The sequence below is a fragment of the Homo sapiens genome, chromosome 11, assembly GCF_000001405.40.
Source record: "Homo sapiens chromosome 11, GRCh38.p14 Primary Assembly".
NCBI classification, from domain to species: Eukaryota; Metazoa; Chordata; class Mammalia; order Primates; family Hominidae; genus Homo; species Homo sapiens.
In genome coordinates this window covers 44,113,817-44,139,958 of record NC_000011.10, presented here as the reverse complement: position 1 = coordinate 44,139,958, position 26,142 = coordinate 44,113,817, and the positions used below count along the sequence as shown (strand labels likewise).

Sequence of the window (26,142 nt, the reverse complement as noted above, 5' to 3'; positions counted from 1 at the left end):
CACCACCCAATCCCTTCTGCCTGGCATTTTTCTTCAATTTTAATATCAGAAGTTTCACACGCCTGCCTGAGCTCCTGGACTCAGCAGAAAGGCCCATATAGCTGTCAGCAAACTGATAAGGACTTTAAAATGACTCCACAGGGCCTCTTTATAAAGAAGAGCCAAAGAAGCCCATAAAGAAAAGGGCAGGGGCCACGGAAACCAGCCGCTCACACTGTTTTAACGTGGCATTAAAATGAGCTGCAGATTTATGGGAGTGCTTTAGCCCCTGGCCCAAATCATGTGGGAGATGAAGCTCGTCTCCCCTTTCCAGCGGGATTTCCAATAGGGGATGGAGCTGGCTAGAAAGAAATGGGGGAAGGGAGGCAGAGGCAGCAAAATGGGGAGAAGAGGAAAAGTGAAGAGGCAGAGGGCACCATGAAAATCAGATATCAGAACTCATTCTCCTTTCTGCAGGATGTGAACAGCTATTTCTAAAAGGTATGTGACCAGTCCTCCTAAATTCACATAAAAATGTCCTTTATTTTTAGCTTATACTTACTAGACTGTAGCTCCTCAGCTGTTTACCACTCAAACATCTATTCTGATTCTAACTTTCCTCTACAAGTTTTTTTAATTAAAAAAATGGATAAAATTATGATCAGGCAAAGAAAAGATTAGAAGGGGGAAAAGGCTCAGTACCATTTTTTTTTCCATTGGAAAGGGGAAAGAAAGCAATAATACTTTATCCAAATGTGCCAATGAATTAAAAAAAAAAAAAGGTCAGCTAAAGAGTCACTGATTTTTATCTCCCTACAAGTCATTCTGATCCTCACACACACACGCAAAAAAAAAAAAAGGAGAGAGAGAGAAGTAAGCCTCTTCCATGCCAAGATGTAAAATGTACACCAGAACCCACAGGAATAAATTCTCTTTCGAGTTTCCAAGCCCAGAAGCAAATGCATAATACATCAGTAGTTGTAACTTACTGTGGTTCTTTAAGACCACTCTGCATTCCTTGGAGGCTCCTTCTAATACTTAAATGCTGCCCCAGGAGGAGTTGTCCCAAATGACGGCCAGCATAGAGTGGGGGGCCAGAATCTACATGCTTTGAGTCAATCATCTCATTTAATCAATACAACTACTCCATACTATTATTAGCTCCACGTTATAGGTAAGAAAACAGAAGCTACAAAACTGGTACACACCCGGCAGAGCAGGACTCAAATTCAAGTCTCTCCAACTCACAGGCCCACTGGGCTTTCCAGTACCAACTTTCCTCAAACTTTCTGGACTGGGACCCACAGTAAGAAATACACAAATACATTTTATGCAACAACTCACTACTGGAACAAAAGCTACAGGAAATATTTACCCTTACTCTGTATAAAGCTCTCTAATAGTTTCCTATTATATTTCATTAAAAAAAAAATGCCAGTCGTGACCCACTGAATTGACTTCATGATCTGCTAATGAATCATTACCTTCGGTTTGGAAAATACTGCAGTACACCATGAAAAAAAAACAAATCATCAGACTGGGAGTCAGGAGACCTAGGTTCCAGCTGCAGACTAGGCCTAACAATTCATTCTCAAGATTACTGCAACTCTAGGGCTTACTTGTCACTTGTAAAATACAAGGAAAGGGTTGAATAATTTCTAAGGTCCCTTCCAGCTCTTTGATTTCTTTCCTAAATCTCTTCAATTATGTTCACTGCTTTCTCCTTGCCTCACAAATCTTTTCATTACCTTCCGCTTGTTAGTTACCGTCCTTCCCTTCAGTTCTCAACCAAGTTCTCTGTTGCTGGTATTCAAAGCTCTCCCCTGCCTCCCGTGCCTGTGCCACCAGATGCTCCTCTTACCTACTAGTCTCTCCACAGAACCTCCTGGTGGAAGTCAGTGCCCTGATGTTCACCCTCTCTATCTGAGGCTACCCAGTTGTGAAGATTCCTTTCACCTTCTGATCCACTCTGATCTTGAGGTCATTCCTGGCTCTCCTTAGCATAACTGAGTACACAGCACTCCTGGCCTTATAATTTATGTATTACTGAAAGTTCTCTTTCCAGCAACCTGAGGGCCTTTCTTAAAGACAGGATCTGTGCCCACCCTTTTTAAAATCTCCCTCAACATGCCAGTACAATACTAGGAACAAAGCAAGTCCTTAATCCATATTTATTTAACTGATTGCATTATGAAATTAAGGACCCTAATTCTCCTAAATTTAAAGAATGCTTAGGTGAGCTACTCTTAGAAAAGTCACCAAACCAATTAAAACTGGTATCACAATAAGATGAGTGACTATACTACACAGTCTAAATTCCACATACTACTCAACTGTATTTGCCTACAGACAAGACAGACCAAGGCTACCAGGGAAAGTAGCTTTATGGTCTCTCCATCTAGACTGTGAGAATTTAGATTTGCATTATGAAATTAGGGACCCTAATTCTCCTAAATTTAAAGAATGCTTTGGTGAGCTGCTCTTGGAAAAGTCACCAAACCAATTAAAACTGGCATCACAGTAAAACGGGTGACCTATACAGACTAAGATCCACATACTACTCAATTGTATTTGCCCACAGACAAGACAGACCAAGGCTGCCAGGGAAAGTAACTTTATGGTCTCTCCATCTGGACTGTGAGGATTTAGATCTCAGAAGCTATACAAAACAACTGCAAATCAGTCCAAACCTTAAAGACAGGAAAATTTATTTACAGGCCCTAGTGCATTGTAAATCTGAGACAGTTCTATTAAAATGCTTTTCTTGGCTTCCCATCATCAGATACTTGGTAAAAGTCTTTTTCCAACAAGCTTCTTAATAACAAAGTTGAAAAAAATAGTTAAACACATAAAAATGGTCTTCTTTAAGAATTCCAATTAAATGAGACCTTATTTTATGCTGCTTTAAACAACACATGTTGACCACTTTCCTTCACAATAGGGATATACATACTAGGAAAATTCAAACAGAATATAGAGTGCTACTGAAAAAAAAAAACTGTGAAATTTAAAATATCCCACAAAATGATTACACCCATTACCAAGGCTCTCCCATTGGCCAAAGAGCCTCCCTTTGTATTAGAACCATGGTTGTCTACTTCACAGGAAGAACTCCAGGGATCAGGTCAATGTGCACTGTTTAAGGGAAGCAGCCAGTAACTGTTTAAGGGCAAGTACAAAAGCAGAGACCACGAAACACAGCTTGGAGTGGCATGTCAGGACTGGAGAGGGGAGGAGGAGGGGCAGGGAATATTTGGCATTTTTTAAAAAGCCCCAAGAGTCCAGTTTATGTATACTTCTTAAAATCCTCAATTTCACAGTGGCGGTGCAGGGTGGATAAGAATGGTAGACATTATAACACTGATACTGGAAATTAGAGTGAAACCTTTTCCACATTCCTCATAATATATTTCCAGGGCTGTGTCCAGTCCTAAATGTCTCAAGCAACCACTTTTTCAAGGAAGACTATTCAATAAGCACTTAGCTTGAATTGTTAGGAAGCTCATCCTGATTTTTACCCTCAATCCAGGCCACACAGCTCTGTGGTTTGAATGAAGTTGTAGGCAGCAGAACAGAGTGTGCTGCTTGTCTGTCCCTCACATGCTGTGTGGTCTTGGGAGGATTACTTTACGTCTCTTTATCCTTAGTTTCTTCACATAAAAAAATTCAGATTACTCTTCTAATGGCCTAGCTTACTACTCTGTTGAGTCTGCTTTGTAAACTGGTGTACACTGGGGGTGGGAAAGGAGGGAGAAATTGACACAGACAGCTATGTAACTGTCATGGACATAACAGACTGGCCAGCAGCACAGGGAACCCTCAGTACATCAGTCTGGGTTGCTAAGGTTTCTAGACATCTGAGGGTTTACACTTTTAAGCAAATAACACTTTTTAAAAATAAAAACAAACATCTTAAACAGAAAACTTTATAAAACATATTACACAAGATCCAATATCTTAAAAACATATATGCTAAACAAAATTAAACTTAGCTTAAAGATTCAGGGGCATCACCATGAATAGTAATTTCTGTATTTCCTCAATTTTAAGATGCCACATTAATAACAGTTTTGTGGGAAGAAACAGAAACTACATTTGATGTTCAAATTGATGATAAGACTTATTTGGATGTCAGAAATTCCAAATACGAAAAATAAAGATGTACTTCTCTGAACTGAGGAATTCTGCCATCTTATAATGATATATCCAGGATAAAGTGAAACCTGAAAAGCTGGCTATCCTTACATTCAATATGCTGAGCATTCTTTTTTATTAAAAATAGCTTTTCCACCCAGTGCAGTGGCTCATGCCTGTAATCCCAGCACTTTGGGAGGCTGAGGAGGGCTGATTGCTTGAGGTCAGGAGTTCGAGACCAGCCTGGGCAACATGGCAAAACCCCATCTCTACTAAAAATACCAAAATTAGCTGGGTGTGGTGGCGTATGCCTATAATCCCAACTTCTTGGGAGGCTGAGGCACGAGAATCACTTGAACCCAGGAGGCAGAGGTTGCAGTGAGCTGAGATCGCACCACTGCACTCCAGCCTGGGTGACACAACGAGCCTCTGTCTCAAAAAAAAAAAAAAAAAAAGTATTTCCATCCTCTTTATTCATACCAGATTAGCAGATAACCCATCTCAGATACCTTCACTGTTAGTAGTCTTTCTTCACTTTAAATGTGTCTCTTCCAAACTACTACGGCTATGGAAACCAAATAATTCAAATGTGTTGAAATTGTATGCAAGTAGGATAAAATAAGAGGCCCCTGATAGGGGCTCTCCTATAAAGTACAGGAACTTCGGTGTATGCACACATTTACTGTTCTGTAGCCTCTTCTACTCTCTTCTTGATCACTACTAGGCCCAACTATAGTCTAGAGGTTTTATTTTCTTAAATAAAATTGTTTTGTCTTTTTCCTAATCAGCCCACTACATCTTCAAGTACTTCTCTGCAGCACCAATATTTGGTTTGCTTAATAGAAAAATATGAAGGCACATTGAGATGGATCAGTGTAATAGACTGAAAAGAAACTGGTATTTTAATGTACCCCAAGTGTTAAAGGCTAGAGAGAAAAGAAGATGCTGAATGTTTCTGCCACCTCAAAGGCTTCTAGTCAATTGAGTACAAAGAAGAGTTCAAAGGCAAGTCAGGCTCCTGACTTCCACCTCCTAGTGTGGCTGAGGTTAGAGGTCACTGCTGGTGGAGCCACTGACCAATAAAAGAATGTTTGGAAATTCTACTCAACAGATAAACTGGGGATCCATTTACACCTTCCTCCCTATCCATACAAACATTTCTAACGATACAGTCTAGTGTCTATCCAGCCTTCTGAGATCCCAGATTGTGTACTTTTTCTTTGTGATTCAGGGGAGACTGGGAATATGAATGTTCCATTTGACTACAGAAAAATATTTAGCTGCATACTTCTGCCTGCCTTCCAACATAAGAAAGATGGCTGATGGAACTCCCATCTCAAGGCCTACCTCAGATTCTACATCTCCAAGAAATTCATCCTGACAGCTTTAGCCCCAACTTTCTCCCTTCCATTTCAGACCCTTAATGACCCATAATGTACCTAGAAATATCGGCATCATCTTCTCAACTTTCTTTATGCTTATACCCATATATCCCCAACACAAGCCCTTTGTGAATGGGGATCAAAGATTTTTTTTATTATCTCCTATAATCTCTCCCCCCACCAAAAAACATTAGGGATTCAATAAATTAACTAGTTAATCATTAGCTCACAGGACAATAAAAGGCCAACTGAGAAGTCAGCTTTATACTGTTACAACTACTGTCTTCTACTGACTTAAGGAACTGTTTTTTAACTTCCCCACAAAAAGCCCTATAAGCCCCCAGTAGTCTGCCCAATGCCACGTGTGGCAGCACTGCTCACTGGTGGCCTTCAGGAATAGATACCAGAGACACAGGTTGTACTTTTTTTCAAAAGTCTTAGTCTAACTATAGCTGTTACTTACATTAGGCTCTAGCCTTGTAGTTAACTTTTTGGCTGCTACTATCACATCTAAGGGAATTTAATTTCCTTTCTTTGTCAGGTAGTATGACTTTCTCCCTTGGTACACACAAATTCCCGTCACAACAAGGACTTTCACCACTTTAGACATCTGTCAGATTGTAGCCTTTCTGATCCTAAACTCTAAGCTGCAAAATGTTGCTCCAATACCTTCCTCACCAAGACCCTACCCCACATTTCTGGGGCCAAATCAGAAACTTTAGCTCTATTGCATCTAGGGAGAGTAAAATCCTGTGCTAAGCAGGATTTTCTTTCTTCTTCTTCATCTGAAAGAAATGGTCTCTAGAGAGCAGCTATCAGGAAGATGTCAGTGTGAAGCACCAGAGTGGCTCATGGCATTTAGGATTTCTTGGAAAGATTTAAATACTCAGAGGGAAAATGAGTTAATTAAAAGTGGATGGAGACCTCTGCTGGCTACAACTGTCCAATGCAGCTCCATTAAGCTAGTCTGGAGTTTCTCAGCAAGCAAATCAGACTCTGTTCCTCACCCTCAGTTCATTCTGATACATCATCTAGGGGCTCCAAGGTATCAACTACTGATACAATAGGCTTTCCCCTAAAAGTGGATGCCTGTCTTGCAAAAAGACCCACCTCTGACCTCCCTAAAGAGAATTCACTAAGGTATAAGAACTTTTCAGAATCAGGTGTTTTACCATTTTTTTAATTACTCCTGCCAAGGTCAGGTTAAATCAATAGAAGGTAAACAGAAAGCAAAATGACAAGAATGTTTTGGAAACAGTATATTTTGTTATAGAACCAAAGAACTCTAATTTTAGAGAGATGAGACATTAACTATCTATAGAGAACAGTGGTTCTCAGTTAAAGCAATTTTGCTTGCCCTCCACCCCCAACCCCAAAGGGGACAATTGGCAAGCAATGTTCTAGAGACATTTTTGGTGATCACAACTGAGGGGAGGGGTGCTATTGGAATCTAGTAGTAGTTGAAGAAACCTAGTCATCCTTTATACCTAACTGGAAATTACTTTAACCAGATAATCTCATATCTAATTGAGATCAGCCCACTCTAGAAATGTGGGGTTAGGAAAAGAAAAGAGGTCATTTTGGGAACATGGATTACTCAGAGAAAGGGGAGTGGGACTAGTGAGTTGCCGCAGTGGAGAGCTTTAGATGGTCCGAAAGCAGCACAGGGAAAGAGGCCGTCAGAAAGCGGAAAAGGGAGTTAGAAAGGGGGCCGGGAAAGTGCCAAGACCACCTTTCTTTTTAAGCTGGCATAGTGGACTGTTCACCACTAGAGGAGGCAAGTGGCCCTTGTGACTAGAGCTGTTCAAGGGGAGAAGAGATGACCACTAAATTATTAATGTTGTCAAGGAGAGTAATGTTCTTGGTAGGGATAAGCATTTCATAGAGTTTTTTAACAGCCACATGGAACATGAGAGATTATTTAGCCAACCCCTTCATTTCATAAATGAGGAAATGGAAGCCTAGGGAGCTTGGGGACTTACCATGGTCATGCAATCAAACGGACAGAGCCAGGGATCAAACCCAAGTCTTTTGACTCAGTGTGTCTCTTTGAACCCAAATAACCCAAAAGTACGCTGTTTTAAATGACCAGCATTCATTCCTTCTCAACTGTTCTATGATTCTGAGCCAACACTGAAAATGACCAAGCTTATCTCAGACCTGTGGTTCCCACACCACCCTCCTATGGGCAACAGTCCTCTGTGAGCTGGCAGTAGACGCCACTCCAAAAACCAAATGATTCTCTTTCACAGCTTCAGGGTGGAGGGGTGGAGAAGAAACTGGATAGAATTTGTGCATTTTAACCTCCCCAGTTTTTTCTTACCCTTTCTAGACTAGATTCTAGTATAAAATAGTCTCTGCTTTAGCCTATAATTCTATATTTAGTTTTACTAATAAATCAAGATTCCATAAAAAGTAACACAAAGTGGGCCAGGTGTGGTGGCTCACGCCTATAATCCCAGCATTTTGGGAAGCCGAGGCGGGCGGATCACTTGGGGTCAAGAGTTCGACCAGCCTGGCCAACATGGTGAAATCCTGTCTCTACTGAAAGTACCAAAATTAGCCGGGCATGGTGGCGCGTGCCTGTAGTCCCAGCTACTCGGGAGGCTAAGGCAGGAGAATCACTAGAACCCTGGCGGCAGAGGTTGCAGTGAGCCAAGATCATGCCACTGCACTCCAGCCTGCACTACAGAGTGAGACCCCTCGGCGGGGAAAGAAAAGGTAACACAAAATGCACAAACATTATGACTCCTCAAGGGGCATTTTCTTCTACACAAGTTTTAGGAACCACAGGTTTAGATAAAAAATCTAGAGATCTCTGGACTGATTTTCTGATTCACTAAAACTTAGATGAAATCAGTGGTTAAATAACAATTGGGAAACCCAGAAACTTAAAACGAACAGGAGGATGCTATAAATAAACTGCAGGGAAGCTAAAACTAACCTGCGATTTGCGTTCAAACCAGAATGCCAAAATATTGCACAGATGAGGTCACTGAGGCCCAGAGAAGGCAGATCCTTACCTAAGGGTACAGAGTTTGTAACCCACAGAGCTGATACCCAAGCCAGGCAATCTGAGGTAAGAACCTACAGACTTAATCTGTGTCGATAAGAAGTTCACTATCATAATAAAGAGGGTGGACTGAACACATCCACTAACCTCACTCTCCTAAAACTCTAAAATGACAATTAAGGGGAATTTTCTAAATTAAGGTATGTATCCCCTAAGAAAAAGAGAATGAAAGACAAGATAACAGCATCAGAATGTGGAAGCTGAAAAGTAAAGGAAGAAGTGGTAACTGATGCTATAGACTCAAGAGAGCTGCCTCCTAAATCAGCTGAGAAAAACCTGAGTCACACTGCAGAGCCCCAAGTCAGGGGAAGAGTGGGGTTCAAGCAGGAGGTCAAAGTGAAACTTTAAGTAACAGTCAGAACCTCAGATCCCCTCCCCACACAGCCAGGCAGATGCGCTGTCCCCATCCAGACAGAAGCCTGTGGCCTGTTCTTGGGACATGGCCAAATGCAGGCTCTCTGCCTGAGGCTGAGGGTGCCGAACTAACAGCAGGGGGTGGCATGGGACACTTACGCACGTACTGCTGAGAATCCGCCAAGCCTCTTTTCCTGCTCTTCTCCCACATCGGTGATTTTGACAAAGATTAAACCTTTTTAAAAGTCCATTAAAAATTTTTGGGATAGTCTTCTTAACTTTTTCACCTTGCTTGATATTTAAACCCAATTAAATGTCCTTCAGGACAAAGAAACGGAAGCAGGACTCAGTGGGACATCAAGTGGAGTATGAGACAGTCAGAGATCAGCCTAGGGAATGGGGTGTCAGAAGGTAGAAGAGAAATTTGGAAAGAGAGGCAGGAAAATGGCAAATGTTCCAGAAGAGAGGGAAGGATTCCCGAATTACAAAGGATGACTGAACTGGGAAGCTGGGCTAGTTTGTGCAGCAATAGTATCATGGTCAATAGCTACACAGAAGTATTGCCCTGAAATGGTCCAGCTTCCATGGCTGTCTTAGTCACTACGACTATCACCTGCTGTGACTACAAACCCTCCAAAGAGCTTCAGCTTTGCATCTGCTATGGTAAGACCCTAAAATTGCAGTAGGCTTACCTCTGCACAGTTCTCTGAGAGTTATTATTTCAAACCTTATTTGATGCAACTCACCTAACATTAATTTCCTATCGTTTCAGTTTGGCTAGTTGATCTAGTGGAGGAAGTAAACCCCACTCAGGCATTCAGCTCCTGTCCCTCTGTATCCAGTCAAGGCCACCATTTCGGTACCACCCATGTCACCTCCCCAAGACTTGGCCTCTTACCTGTCTCTGCATTTCTTCAATCTGTCTTTGGGGGATGCTCTGCAAAATACTGTACACATCTGACATCTTTTCTTCTGGTACAACCACAGATGCTCTGGAGACAACAGCAAAACAGTTTACATACACACAGCCCTTCACAGAAAGCATTTCTACACACAGTCTTGTTTCATTTCACAAGCAGAAACAACATCCCAAACCTCCTTCAGCCCCACATCCCTTCCGGTAAGTATTATCTCTTTCCCCTCCCTTCTTCACTGGCTGAACTTCTCAAAGGAGTTCTCTTACAGCTCCATTTTTTTACCTCCCACTCCCTACTCCATTAATCTTTCACCCTGCCTCCACTCCACTAGTGTGCTCTAGCCACACTGGTATTATTTCAGTCACTTGAACACACCATGCTCTGCCCTACCAGAGGGCCTTTGCATGTGAAATCCCACCCACCTAGTACACTCTTCCTTTATTCCGTTTCTAAGTTAACAAATACTTTTCTCCTTTAGCTATCTATGCAAATCTATTCATTTATCTGGCATATATTTATGGAAGCCCTATTATGTGCTAACCCAACAGTGAATTAATTAGACAAGGAAGGCAAGAGAGTAAGCAGGCCAGAAGAATGCCTGGGAAACAGCATTCCAGGCAAAAAGTCTAACAAGCAAACAGCCCTGAAGAAGCAGTATGGTGGGCAAGTTCCAGGAACAGCAAGGAGGCTATTGTGGCTGGAGCAGAGTAAAGAAGGCAGAGAATAACACCAGGAAAGAAGAAATGGGACAGACAGAGTCACAGCAAAGAGTATAGGACCTTGTAGGCCACTGAAAGACTTGTGCTTTTTTTCTGAGATGGCAAGCCATGAGAGGGTTTTGGGCAAAAGCATGATATAACCTAACCATGTTCCAACAGGATCATTCTATCTAAAGTGTTAGAATAAACTACAGGAAAGCAAGGACAGGAGCAGAGAGAACAACTGGAGAACACTGCAAAAGCCAGGCAAGAGATGCAGATGAGGGAAGACTTGATGATGGGGATGAGAGGGTAGAGCCCACAGGGTTTGCTAACAGATTAGATGTGGTGGGTAAGAGAAAGAGAGGACTCAACAATCACTTTTCCTTCACGACATTTGGCAGAGTTTGTAATTACATTTGTATAAATTAATGATTAAACTCTAAACCTCACTTCTGCCAACTAGGCTAGTCCATTAGGACGGAAAGTGTGCCTGGCTCCACTCACCAGCGTATCCTCAGCACCTGGTATATTACTGCCTTGCACAGTTAGCACTTGATAAACATTTGTTAAGTAAGTAAATGATTTCCACTATACAGATGGGAGAACTGAGACTCAAAAAAGATTAAGTCATTTGCCAAGATCAAAAAGCCAGCCAGTGAGAGAGCTGGTTATCTCAACCTAGGCCTTCTGACTTTAAATCCATAATTAGCACTACCCAAGCAGATCTAGATTCTCATAGAAATACCCTTTTGGACTCAGCTTAGAGTTACCGCCTCTGTGAAGCCCTCACCAATCCCACTGCCAATGATGGTGTGTGTCTCCCCCTCCTCCTGGCATCCCATCCAGTCACAGCTGTCTCATCACAGGATTTGGTAACTGCTGATTTACTCCTCTGTCTTCCACCACTACACTATGAGTGTCCCTGAGAAAAGGTTTGGCCTTGATTGTATTTGTCTCCCTATACTTAAGACAGCATCTGGTAAATAAAAGGTACTTAATGGATGCTTTCATTGGGAGATAAATGCTGGAAGTGGCTCATCGCTTCTCTAAGGCATGAAGAATAACTACATGCTCTCCTCTTTCAAGCTGAGTTAGGCTCCCTCCTCTCTTTTGGGTTTCCATGGTCCCCTGTGCATACAGCTGCTATGACATTTACCACAAAACATTATCATCGGTTTGTCTTCTCTCACTAGATTCTAGCCTCCTTGGAAACAGAGACTCTATGTTACTCACAAGAGGGTTTCCAATCAATGTGAGATGAATGAATAAATGAATGAATGAATGAACTAGAGCTTTTCAAGTTGTTCAAATACCTGTGGTGATCAGATTTGGACAGAAATACCAAAAAAGTTGGGAGAGGAAAAAACCAGTAAGCATTTGAGGCAAGGAAAAGACTGAGAGATAGATATGAATGGAATTAATTTTCAACAACCTTCACCCTGCAAAATCTTGGGAAAGTGAAGCATGAGAATAGAGGGCTATTCTGTTTATTGCAATATAAATGGTGAACACCCAGTAGAATGGAACTGGGTCCATCTGTACACTGGGAATGTCTCTAAGCTTTCATCTACATGAGGCTCTCCACCACCATCTACAACATTATGCAAATTCAATAGACTCTAGACCAGTGGTTCTCAACTCTGACTACAAATCAGAATCACCTGGGAGCTTTAACATTCAGAATCCCCAAGAATTAGGCAAGGCATTTTTTTTAAGCTCTCCAGGTGAGTCTACTCTGTAGTCAGAGTTGAACACCGGTCTAGGCTAGAGGTTGGTAACCATTTTCTGAAAAGCAACAGTCCCCAACCTTTTCAGCACCAAGGACTGGTTTTGTGGAAGACAATTTTTCCACAGACTGGGTTTGGCAGGGAATCGTTTGGGGATGAAACTGTTCCACCTCAGATCATCAGGCATTAGTTAAATTCTCATAAGGAGAGCGCAACCTAGATCCCTTGTATGCACAATTCACAGTAGGGTCCACGCTTCTATGATAATTTAATGCCACCACTGATCTGACAGGAGGCGAGGCTCAGATGGTAATGTTCACTGGCCCGCTGGTCACCTCCTGCTGTGCAGCCCGGCTCCAAACAGGCCACAGCCCGGGAGTTGGGGACCCCTGTGATGAAAGGCCAGATAGTGATATTTTAAGCCCTGTATGTCATCCAATTTCTGTTGCAATTACTTAACTCTACCAATGTGACACAATAACAGCCAGACTATACGTAAAGGAAGGGACACGGCTGTGTTTCAATAAAACTTGACTTACAAAAACAGCCAGCCTGCAAACTGGCCTTGGTTTGTGAACTGCTCTAGACCAGTGTACTAACTCTCCTAATGGAAAATAGAGAAAAACTATCTGTAGTAGTTCTTGAACCAGGGTATACATTACAATGACCTGAGGAGATTTTATTTGTAATATACGCAGAACCACTAATGTAGAGTTTACTAGGAGGTACTACCCACCTCTTCCAGTCAAGAACTTCAGAGAAAGGCAAAATATAGGAGTCTGCAATGACAACCGGGACACAGCCAGCTTGTAACACATCGCTCAATACTGCCTGGCCCAGCCGAGCTCCACGAAGAACCACACAGAAAGTAGCCTCCTGCAGGAACACAAAGAGGCAAGAGATTACAAACTAGTTTTGCTGATCCACTAACTTTGATCCCTACAGACCACAAAGTTTCTACAAGGGTTGACGCCAAGCAATACTGAGGCATCTTGACACAAAAATGCCAAAAGACAACAGCTCACACCTGTAAAACTTGAAAAGTTTAAATGGCTGCAATGTTTTGTATTAATATTTCTACTCTTCAGTATTGCTTCAATGCCACCACTGTTGGCCTTCTGAAAATGTTCAAGGTCAATGTCAAAGTCTTCCCTTAGACAGCTAACAACGTGACTTCCTGCAAATGGGTCTCTTTAGGCCCTAGTGTACTATGTAAACACACCACGGCACACTGTCTGACATCTCTTACAGTACTTACCTCAGCCTACCTTGTAATGGAATTATTTTGTCTGGGAATTTCAGGCTTTCTACAAGACCCCCTAAAGGGAAGGTATCAAATCTCTTTTCATGTTTCTACCCCCCATAGCATCTAACAGTGTGCTTTTTATATAGAAGATACTCATTTCATGAATTCAATGCCTTTGAAAAGATATTAAGACTAATATGTTCTATAAAAAAAATCTAATGAAAAATTTCTTCCTCATTCACTCCCTCAAACCCCCTCAATGTGGGGAATACTTGGGAAAAGGAGAGATGTACCACAGAAAAAACAGCTGCAATAGGTAAACCAAAATACAGAAACCTTAACTACCTAACATTCTGTTTCTCCCAGATTTTGCCTCTTAAGAAGGAGGAAAAAGATTTTTTAAAAAAACCAAAAACTAATCTTTAAAGCTAGAGAAAAGGAAAGTTCAGAAAAAGAAATAAAGGAATTCGATATTCCAAACACCTCTGGGGATAAATGAGAAAAGCAGCAAGAGGAGAGGAAGAGAAGTCATCGTGGTACCCGGAGGTGCAGGTGGAAAGCTCCCCTGACCTCAAGAGTCAGCATCCAGATGTGGACACACGTGCTGATAACCATTTTTCCTGTCTAGACAAAGGTTACTATAAATACTCCTGCCCTCATCACCACTGTTACCAGCCAGACATTCCAGGAGGAGTGCAGCACTTTTTGAATGTATTTTTACAATCCCAGTATGGGCAAGCTCTCTGGAGATTAAAAAAAAAAAAATCACACCAGCTCCTTTGTGTTTCTCCTTGAGCTAACCTGTGTCCATTTTAAGTATTTAAGTGAACAAAGCTCAATTTCTCATTTCCTAGCCCCCATACCCTTGGAATGTCAAATATCCTACATATAAAACATCCCCAAAGAGACCGCTTTCCCTATGGTTATGGAAGTACAGCCATTCCCACTATGTAAATAAAGGACATGCTACTGACAGGAGATGCTAAAGGTGGCAAGAACTCCAAATAGCAAAACAATCAAAACAACCCCTAAACCCCTCCACTCCCAGGGAAAGTTCACTGTGGCTCTGTAGGCCAGCATGGTCAAGGGATGCAAGTTGCCACCTCAAAGAAGAAAATTTCTCTGGACTGCCTTATGAATATGGGGGTAAAAGCAAGATACATTTGCCTGCTTTGTCCATGTGGCTTGTCTGCGAATCTATGAGACTTGTCTTTTTGAAGTATAATGAATATCTGAAAGGAGTATAGACTCTCATAGGCCAAGCAGCTTTGCACGAACACAAGACACCAGACATCCAAGTACCTGAAGGTCTACATGTCCAGTAAAGAGCAATGCTATGTTTTCTTCCCCTTGGGTAATTCTAGTTGCATGCTGAAAACAACTCAGGTTCGCTGGGCTCAATTTTAACCCATGTAAGCAAACTCTCCTGAGCCTTTGCGAGAGGTAATGAATGACACTCACCTGTAGCACCTGTGGGTAATCGAAGACCTGGTGCTTGTGGCAGCGCTTACGGACAGAAAGGACACCCTCTGAGAGGTTGGTGCATTTATCGAGTACTAACACTGACTCTCCATGTTTGACCTGGAGGGCTTCTAGGTCCTCTCTGTACTCAGGATGGAGACCCACCTGAGATGACAGGAGGAAGTATTGCCGTGGACTACAAGGGAAAAAAACAGGTGATTGGAAAATTGCAGCTGGTATGTTAGTCAAGGTAAGACAAACTTTGATATTAAACTTATGACAGTAAGTGTTTCCTTACCAGTCTTCACCTCCACTGATTTTTAAAATTATCTTCTGTAGTATTAGTAAATATTTAAAATATTATATATTGTGAGAAAGTAAGATATGATTCATTCACACACTGAAATATTATGCAATCATAACACATCTTATTTGGGAACAGTTCTTGATATCGTGAGGAAATGCTTATAATATGCTAAGCTGAGAGCGCATGCTATAAATTGTGTGTGTGTGTGTGTGTGTGTGTGTGTGTGTGTGTGTAGGAGAGAAACTGATAATTTGGAAGGAACATCGAAGTGTTGTCTTAGTTACATCTGAGTCCCTGATCTGAAAGCGACTGGAAGCTGGCTGCATTCTTCAAATGGGGAAAGAGGGAAGCTTGATGGGAAGCACTGGCAGGCAACTGAAGGGCTCTGGAAAGGGCTGCTCCTGGCTGTCTAACAGCATCCCTGTGCAATGGAGAGGCTATAGGGAAAGTCCCCATCATCAAGGCCACATAAATGGGAGGGAGACCGAATTGGTAGTTGAAAACAAGAAGTAGAAAAAACGATCTTCATCAAAGCATAGAATCTCCAGTCTTAACATCTGGATGGCAAGGATGTGTAAAAGAAAACAGAGGGAAGAAAGATCTCCAAGGGTCTAGTGCCATGCAGATCTCCACAAGAGACAGATATGGAAACACAAAGTTAGTAAGTCTGAAGTCAAGGGGAAGATTTTGGAGAGACCAGATGGGAAGTAATTCCCTCCTGGAAGACAAGACTCAAACAAGACAGAGGGAAGAAAGATCTCCAAGGGTCTAGTGCCATGCAGATCTCCACAAGAGACAGATATGGAAACACAAAGTTAGTAAGTCTGAAGTCAAGGGGAAGATTTTGGAGAGACCAGATGGGAAGTAATTCCCTCCTGGAAGACAAGACTCAAACAAGACAGAGAGGGTACAGAACATAAAACCTATACAGGTTGAGCATATCAAATCTGAAAATCTGAAGTCCAAAATGCTCCAAAATCCAAAGCTTTCTGGATGCCAACATGATGCTCAAAAGAAATGCTCATTGAAATATTTTAGATTTCTGGATTTGGAATGCTCAACCAAGAGTATAACGCAAATACTCCAAAATCTGAAAAAATCAGGAGTCCAAAACACTTCTGGTCCTGAGCATTTTGGATAAGGGATACTCAACCTGTTTAGGCTGAGGGACCACAAGGAATCAGTGTCAAAGAGAAGAATCACAGAAAGCATGTTCCAGGAAGAAATGAAACACTCATTAAGCCTAGAAGCAGCACACACTGAAATCCAGCTCAAACTGGTACAGCCCAGGGAAAATACTAGGGCTACGTATCTCTCACAGGCAACGCCACCACGCAACCTAGAGTTTGTGAACCCATCCATTTTTTGTTTGTTTGTTTTTGGCTTTGAAGAGAGAATGGTAATTGTTACTTTTCCTTAGTTACTCAGACTTGTTTGGAAGTTCTAGCCGGGGAGCATCTCACTCAATAATTATACTCTAACTGAGAAGGTCATCTCCTTTTATAGAGGATTAAGCTTCAGGTCCAAATCACATAAAGCAATGAGTGAAGGTGAACACCTGCCTAGCCAGCTAGACTAGTCATACAAACCCAGAGAAAAGAGCAACCTATACCACAGCCAGACTGCTTTTACGTCCTCAGGATCAATTCTGGTTTTGGCCTAACTAAGAGCAAAAGGCACTTAACACATCACAATTAAGAAAAAAAGGAACCAGCAGACTCCCTAGAACTTCACTAATAGCAACTAGCCACGTGAGGCCATTTAAATTAAACTAATTAAAAGTAAATAAAATTAAAAGTTCAGTTTGTCAGTCACACTAGGCCCATTTCCAGTGCTCAAATAGCCATATGTGGCTGGGGCTGCCTGACAGCACAAACGTTGACCACGTCCTTACTGCAGAAAGTTCTACTTAATGGAGCTACGCCACAAGGTAGGTGAGAGCCAGAGGCCAGGATGACGGTAAGTGGAGATAAGAAAGATATACAACAGCAACCCAGCAGGGAGATGGTTTGGATCAGCTGTACAGACTGGTTCCTTTTTCCTGGCCCATTTCCTCCTAAATTACAATTTATTGAGCAATATGTTCAATATTTATAGCCAAAAGTATTCTTTCTAGACACTAAAACAGGCTTTTGAGTTCTACTCCAAGCCTTGAGCCTCAATCATTTTTCTTTTGTAAAAGTATTAATTTTCAGAGGATGACTTAGTGATGGCGAGATCACATACAGGGAGCACCCGCAGTTCATCTCAGACTAAACACCATCTTTGCTCAAATTACTTCTATAATCAAACGTACCTGTTTAAGCAAGAGGAAAATTTACAGTCAAACCCACAAGACAAGCAGGGAAACTTCCTTAATAATTAAAGCTATTCAATAATGAAATGGACTGTCTTGTAAGTTGGTGATTTTTCAGTATAAATCAGAAACTTTTTCAGTAAAAAGTTACTGAAAAGTCATGCATCAAGTTAAGAGCTAAATGGTCTTTAAAGGTCTTTCCAAACAATAAGACGCTGGCTCTTTGAAGGATCTCATGGATGTTTCTGGAGCCTTTCTCTTTAAGTAGAGCTGACAGCACAAAACTAGTGTTCTACCCTCTCCAGAAAAAGAATAAACAGGTGGGCATCCAAGAGGAGTAAAGAGGATGTCCAGGCAGAAGGGCATAGAGTATTGGAGTCCCAGAGGGCATTTCTGCATGGTCGGGTGGGGAAGAAGGCGCACGTGGAATGTTCAAGCCCTAGTGGGGTGGGAGCTTCTGCTTAAGAGAAGAGTAGTAAGGTAGCCTGGCGCAGGGTATCAGAGCCCCAGAAGTGAAAGGAAGGCTTCTGTGCTGGGGGAAGGGTTATGGGGATGCTGGAGACCAAGTGAGGTTAGGAGGGCATCTGGGCAGCTCAGAAGAGAGTGTTAGAGCCTGGGCAGGCTGAGAAGGGTGCCCAAGTTGTGGGGAGAATGATGGTAATGATAGCATCACCCCAGTGCTAGAACCCAAGAAGTGTGAGAAAGGCATCTGTGCTGGGAGGGTGCAGGGCAGCACAATGTAGGGGGTCAGAGTCTGAGCAGGGATGAGGAGGGGTGGGGAAGGCCTCTGTGCAGTGTGGGGGCAGGGGGGCAACAGAAGTTTGATGAATATAAGAGGGTTGATCAAATAAGTAAAGATGTTGAGGATAAAGAGAGCCAGATTTCTAGGAGTCAGAGAAGGGAGTTACAAATATGGAAAGAGAGAAAACCAGAATGCCCCTGCAGTGTTGGATGGAACTGGAGATACTGAGATGAATGCATGGTTTTCAATATGCACAAATAGATAGACATCTGTCTGTACAGATACAGAAATAAATACAGATGTTGATGTGTGGTGCTCAAAGAAAACTCTTAAGAAAGACTCTGGGTTAGATTTCACTGATGAGAAATAAAGTTCTATTTTAGACATTCAGTTACCAGGATCACTGGATCCCCGCTCTACTGCTACTCCATTTTCAACATAAATGTGGTAGCACCAGGCTACCTTACTACTCTTCTCTTAAGCAGAAGCTCCCACCCCACTAGGGCTTGAACATTCCACGTGCGCCTTCTTCCCCACCCAATGTGAACAAGTGTAGATGTGAACAAGTCTAAAAATGTGTCCCTTGCTTGCATGCTGGCTGTCCCTGACCTGGCAGATGGTTGAAGGAGTATGCTCATTTTAGTTTTAAACCAACTAAATTTTAAGGTGGATTTGTTTTTCTTTTAAAGACTAAAATGACTAGCTATAGCTTTCATGTCTCCTCCCAGCAGTGCTGATATCTAAGTTTAAGCAAAACCATGCTGAGAACTTGAAGTCTCCCTCAATAGTAACAGTTGTAAACTCCCAATTTAGTTCATTTTAGAAGGAAAATGACAAGAATTCCAGCTGAGGCCAAAACAGCTGTGAGAAGCAGCTATCAATAGCAACAATCATCCACTTCCCATTGAACAAATGCTGACAGAGATTTAAAACAAAAATAAAAGCAAAGCTCTCACTATTCTGTATAGCCCGCAAGAGATGTGGGAATTCCCTTAAACAGCAACTCTCACAAGGATCAACAAACCCAAAACACTGCCATGAGATGGCCCACCCTGCCTTCTCCCACGTCCCTGGCAGGATGATGAGTCTGAACCTGTCTTTACTTTTTAATTTTTTTTTGTCTTGGTTTTCGGGGGCAGGGAGGGGTGGTGGTAGGAGATGTTCTTATATAAAAGTTAACACCACAAGTGCATGACCAGACTGCAAGCTGGCACCGAAATGGACAGCATGGGCCCAAGCCAGGTTGCAGAAATCCATCTACCAGCCAGCAGAGGGAGGTACATGCTCAGCGCAGCCTTACCTTTCGGTGCTACCCTGAAGATAAACTGGACACTCCTATCGGGTTATTGAACCACAGAACTTTAGAAACTGACACCTTTTCAAAGGATCTAGTTAAAGATATTAATTCCAGCTGAGTTATACACAAAAATTAGAGACACTAAATTACTAGGAAAATACCACCAATATATAATCTCTGAAACTAATTATATATTGATGTATCTAAATCTCTGAAACTAATTATTTGAAAATGAGTTTTACTGTTTGGAGTGGTTTTTCTCCTTTGTTTTATTTTCACTTAAAGCTTTTATTTTCAGTTTTCTTCCCTGGATTAAACCTGAAGGGGATTAAGAGTCCTAAACCAATATAAGAGAGCTAGATTATATGAGAGGGATTAAACAATAAAGAGAGAGTTTGGTTCAAGTGGTCTCAAGAAAAGTGCACTGAAGACAGAGGCCCACAGCAGCTGAGCAGTCCTAGCAGACCAGTCCTCACATGTCACTCTCTGCCTCACCCAGGGTTTCTCAACCCCAGCGCTGCTGACATTTGCACCCAGTATTTCTTGATGTTGGGGGCTGCCCTGCCCTATGCAGAGAAGAATTAACATAGCAGGCCTGAGTGTTCTCCTTAGAAAGGCTTGCTTATAAGTTTGGTCTTTGGCTGTCATCTGGAGACTTGGATTTGGAGAGGGTTCCCATCATCCCTGGAACTGATAAGAGTGGCTCACTGTATCCAAACTGCACAAACAAATGTGGTTTATGCTGAACACATGCTTTCCTTCTGGGAGTCTGGAAGTTTGGCACGTGCCAGGCAGAGACAGCCTATGCAATCAGCTCCTAAGAAAGGTCCTGGGTGCTAAGTCTCTGACGAGCTCCCTTGGTTGACAGCATTTCACAAGTGTTGTCACAGCTTGCTGCTGAGGGAACTGAGAACATCTTGTGCACCGCACTGGAAGAGGGCACTTGAAGGCTTGTGCCTGGTTTCTCCAGATTCACCCCATGCGTCTTCTACCTCTCTGACTGTGCTGTGCATCCTTTTGCCGTAATAAGTCACAGACGTTAGTACAATTATATGCTGAGTCATGGAGCCCTCCTGGCAAATCATAGTAACTGGAAGTGGTCTTCAGGACCCTCTGACACACATCCCCACAGTCATGACAGTCAAAAATGTGTGTGTGTGTGTGTGTATGTGTATATATATATATATATATATATATATATATATATATATATATATAAATAGCCAAATGTCCCCTGGGGGACATAATCATTCCCTTTCTCCTGATGAGAGACAGCAGTCTAGCCCAATACTTGGTCCAAACAGGCTTTCAATAAAGGTTTGACTTGAAGTGAACTGAACTAAACTGAATTGAATTAAATAATTTCCAGAACAACTTTAGGAGGAAAAAAAGAGAAAAAGAAATGAATAAAAACTTTTTAAATCACAGAACAGATTTAAGTAAATGCTCACAGAAGCAGCAGAGAAGTAACTTTTTTCCCTACTTATAGTTATTTCTATCTCGTGCTACATAAATATGCCAAATTAAGACCCTAGGCACATAACAGAAACTTGTACCACCCCAAAGGGTACCAGCGGGGCTTATGTAGATGATCTCATCCTTTCTGAATTTATGAAAATCTAACCTCGAAATAGGGCACTGAATTATATCAGTTTCTTCTGTCCGTGAATTCACTAGAAGAATTATTTGTGTATTTCCATTGTGATGATAATCCAAAAAATTAGTATGGGGATAGTTTTGCTCATATTTAATGATGAATACTGCTAAAAAATATTCAACTTCCAAGTTTCTATTTAGTGGACTAATGAGATGAGAGAAACACTAAAAATGTAAATCATATAAAGCAGTAGAGTAAAAATGCAGATAGAATCTAGGCTGTGGGTATACATTATGTTCAGTGTAAAATTTTTTAAACTTTGCTGTTTGGAAATTTTCATAATAAAATATTGGAAAAAATATGAATCATGCATCTGTACCATATGAAGATAAATGATGTCACAATATGCTATCTAAAGGGAAGCTTCTAATGTTTCAAATAGAAAACATGGTTAAAAAAAAAAGTACATTTTCACCCAACATACAACAGTATAGGCACATCAAACCCAGCAAACCCGTAATTAACTCCATATTCACCTTAAAGATGCAATCTCATTTCAAAGAAACAGCATCAGCTATCATATTCAATTATGTTAATCTGAATGTTATTAGTTTTGTAGATGTGCTTATATTTAACCTTGTAAATTTGTTTCAGTTTTGTAGTTGCATAAGCACAAAGAGTTTAGACTGTTTTTCATTTATATTTACTTATAACAAAAATAGTTAATTAAAATGCAAAGGACCTGAATAGTCAGGAAAACTCTGAAAAAGAAGAACACAGCCTGGGCAGTATCACAAGAACCCATCTCTATAAAAAATTAGCCAAGCGTGGTGGCATGTACCTATAGTCCTAGCTACTTGGGAGGCTGAGGCAGGAGGATCACCTGAGCCCAGGGGTTCAAGGCTGCAGTGAGTTATGATCCCACCCATTCGATCCAGCACTCCAGGGTGACAGAGCGAGACCTCGTCTCTTAAAACAAGAAAAAGGAAGAACAAAGTTGGAGAACTTACATTTATTTCAAAACTTAATACAAAGCTAAGGTAACCAAGACAATGTAGTACTGGCATAATAGACATATAGACCAACAGATTCGAATTGACAATCCAAAAATAAACCCATATATCTATGGCCAGTTGATTTTTAACAAGGGTACCAAGACCATTCAATAGAAGAAGACTTGTTTTTTCAACCAGTGGTGTTCAGACAACTAGACATACACAAGCAAAAGAATGAAGTTGGACCCCCACCTTATACCACATACAAAAATTAACCAAAATGAACCATAAATCTAAATGTAAGAGCCAAAACTGTAAAACTCTTAGAAGAAAACGTAAGGGTAAATCTTCATGGCCTTGGATTAGGCAATGGTTTCTTAAAAATGACACCAAAACTGCAAGTAACCAAAGGAAAAATAGATAAATTGACTTCATCAAAATGAGGAACTTTTGTGCATCAAAGGACACTATCAAGAATGTGAGGCCGGGTGCGGTGGCTCACACCTGTAATCCCAGCACTTTGGGAGGCCAAGGTGGGTGGATCACCTGAGGTCAGGAGTTTGAAACCAGCCTGACAAACATGGAGAAACCCCGTCTCTGCAAAAAATACAAAATTAGCTGGGCGTGGTGGCACACGCCTGTAATCCCAGCTACTTGGGAGGTTGAGGCAGGAGAATCGCTTGAATCTGGGAGGCGGAGGTTTTGGTGAGCCGAGATCACGCCATTGCACTCCAGCTTGGGCAACAAGAGCAAAACTCCGTCTCAAAAAAAAAAAAAAAAAGAAAGTGAAAAGCAGTCTATAGAATGGGAGAAAGGATTTGCAAATCATGGATCTGAAGAGGTTCTAACATCTGTTATAGATAAAGAATTCTTATAGCTCTACGATAAAAGGACAATTCAATTTTAAAATGGGCAAATGATCTGAATAGACATTTCTCCAAAGAAGTTATATAAATGGCCAATAAGCACATGAAAAGATACTCAAAATTATTAGTCAGTGGGGAAATGCAAACCAAAACCACAATGAAGATATGACTTCACATCCACTAGGATGGCTAGAATAAAAAACACAGGCAATAACAAGGGTTAGTGAGGATATGGGGAAATCGAAACCCTCATACATGGCTGGTGGGAATGTGAAATGGTGCAGCCGCTTTGGAAAAGAGTTTGGCAGTTCCTCAAAAAGTTAAACATAGAGCTACCGTATGACCCAGCAGTTCTGCTCCTAGGTCAAGAGAACTGAAACCAGCTTTACATACAAACTTGTATACAAATGTTCATAGCAGCATTATTCATAAGAGCTAACAGGTGGAAATAATCCAAATTTCCATCAACTGATGAAGAGATGAATAAAATGTGGTATATTCATATGATGAAATATTCAGCCAAAAAACAAAGGAAGTACTGATTCCATGCTATTACATGAATAAGCCTTGGAAACATTATGCTAAGTGAAAGAAGACAGGTACAAAAGACCATTTATTGTACAATTATGTTGATAGGAAATGTCCAGAATAGGCAAACCCATAGAGAGAAAAAGCAGATTAAGGATTCTTGCTGGGGACAGAGGTGAGGACTGACTGCTATTGGATATTAGGTTTATTTGTGGAGTCATGAAAATGTTCTAGAATTAGGTAGTAGGCCTGATGATAGTTGCACAATTTTGTGAATATACTAAAAACCGTTAAATTATACACATTAAAAGAGTAAATTTTATGGTATATAAATTAATCTCAATTTTAAACATAAAATAAAATAAGTCAACTCTGGGAGTCCACAAAGGGAGAAAAATCCAGGAAGATGTCCTAAGCAACAACTTCATGAACCACTCAGTCTTGCTCCGCATTTGCCTAAGGGTAGGAACAAAAATGTCTCAAGCTCACCTGGGCTTTACACATCGTCTACATAACAAAATTTGCTAAGTGAATGGCTAATGTAAGTTTCAGAATTTGGTCCCGGGCCACATGGTAGAACACAAACAGGAGAGAGATGTCTTCTCCTGAGAAAAGTTCTCTTACTTCTCAGAGTCCACAAAGGTTTCTAAGGAGATGTCTGAAATATTTAAAGAATGGTTCTAATGGTCTCCAGGCAAACTATTTCCATGAGACCCATTTCTCAAACCAAATACAACATTTTTAGTGTCAAAATTTATCTATTGGTCACCTCTGCTTCTGAGCACTTCCACACAAGTAAAGGATGCTTTTATTATCATGTTTGTTTAAAGCTCACTGAGATTCTCACCAGGAAATAGCACAATTTTTACATAGACTACAGAAAAAAAAAGGTTACATCCATGCTGCACATTCATGTTGTCAGCCCTTTTCATTTACTCCCTCACATACTAAAATATGAGCCAAGAAATGCCAGACACTGAAGATATGGTAGTTTAAAAAAACAGCTGGATGCAGTGGCATGGGCCTACAGTTCCTGTTACTTGGGAGGCTGAGGCAGGAGGGTCACTTGAGCCCAACAATTTGAATCTAGCCTGGGCAACATAGCAAGACTCTGTCACTTAAAAAAGCAAAACAAAGCAAAAACAAAAACCTAACCTCAGCTTCACTGCACGTACAAAATCCAAAATCCAAACAAGACAGGCTTTGAGCAAGTCATCACGATGGGCATCATGTGTGCAGCGATGGGCATCACTCTAAGAGACGTGCAGGCTGCTATGGGAGCATAAAGCAGAGGAGCCAGGGCAGAGGCCAAGAAGGTACCCCCTCCACCCCATCCCAGAAGGTGGTTTCAAGCTGAAACCTAAGGCACAAGCAGGATGTTAGACTAATGAAGACGAGGAAGAAGGTCTGCAGACAGTAGAGAATGTGTCTGCTGCCCAGAAAAACTGAGAGAGCACAGCTTGTTCTAGGAACTGAAAGAAGTAAAAAGTTCTCAGACACAAAGCTAAAGATGGAGATAGTGGTCAGATGAAAGAGAGCCTTGAAAGATGTTTTAGGGACTGTGGGCTAAGGACTAACGTGAATCTTATCCTAAGGGCAATGTGAAGCCAAGGATCAAACTCGAGGGGAGCAAGACCAGAGGCAGGGAAACCACATAGGAAGCCGTTTCAGCAATCCAATGGAGAGATGACAGTAACCTGGTCTAGGGTAGAGGAGGAGGATTCGGGGAGCAGACAGACCTAGGAAGTATTTAGGATGCAGAATCAATACGACTTCCTACTTTGATATAGGAAACAAAGGAGAGAACGGAGTTAAGGATACCACATGGATTCCTGGCTTAGAAAACTTGGTAGACAGCACTGTGAATTTAAGGAGACAGAGAAAACTGCAAGATGAATGAGACTGCATGGAGGTGGGAAAGATGGGTGCCTCAGTGCCTCAAGGACCCTACCCTGTAACTGATGTATTGGTTGCTTTGATGCCCACCACACTAAACCTCATCAACATCTCACAGATTCAGTAAAGGCACACCTGGCTGGGATGAATGTACCTTACCCTGGTCCTTTCTCTGGAAGATCCACCTCAGCTGACAGTGGACTATAGACAGGAATGCTGACATCGTAGCCTTGCCGGTAAGTCCACGTAGAAAAGCCGCCACCAGCCAACAGGGCCCTGAAAGCAAAGTATTTTGTTAAACGATGAGAAAGAAAGGACTTTATTCTGATACACACTGTGGAGAGGAACAGGAATTACTGAGTCTTTATTATCAAAACCAGCTAACGTTTACAGAGTCAGTTTTCTATAAAGACAATGCCTTATACACGCATCTCGGGGCCATCAGCTGCGTTCTATCCTTGAATCACCAGCCTTCCCCCGGGGTCCTAAATACCCTTTCCTTACTTCCCAGTTTTTGAAACACATCATAGTCCAGAGGACACCTTACGGACAGCCTCTCTGCTACCTCCCTCAGATCCCATTCACCTCTCCCTAGTCATACTTTATAAATAAACACATTTACAATAACAGGAGTAACAGTTCTG

The 26,142-nt window shown here is 41.6% G+C and overlaps 1 protein-coding gene across 9 annotated transcripts in view; it reads right to left on the bottom strand.

The window, feature by feature from the left end:
• EXT2 (exostosin glycosyltransferase 2) overlaps window positions 1-26,142 on the bottom strand; it is a 156,285-nt gene that overhangs the window by 112,004 nt on the left and 18,139 nt on the right. For all 9 annotated transcript variants that reach the window (XM_047426529.1, NM_001389630.1, NM_001178083.3 and 6 more), the window contains 4 exons: window positions 25,658-25,774; window positions 14,975-15,170; window positions 13,004-13,143; window positions 9,821-9,914 (listed from right to left, as the gene is read on the bottom strand). In XM_047426529.1, the coding sequence (XP_047282485.1) occupies window positions 9,821-9,914; window positions 13,004-13,143; window positions 14,975-15,170; window positions 25,658-25,774 (547 nt within the window). The remainder of the gene's footprint in view (window positions 1-9,820; window positions 9,915-13,003; window positions 13,144-14,974; window positions 15,171-25,657; window positions 25,775-26,142) is intronic.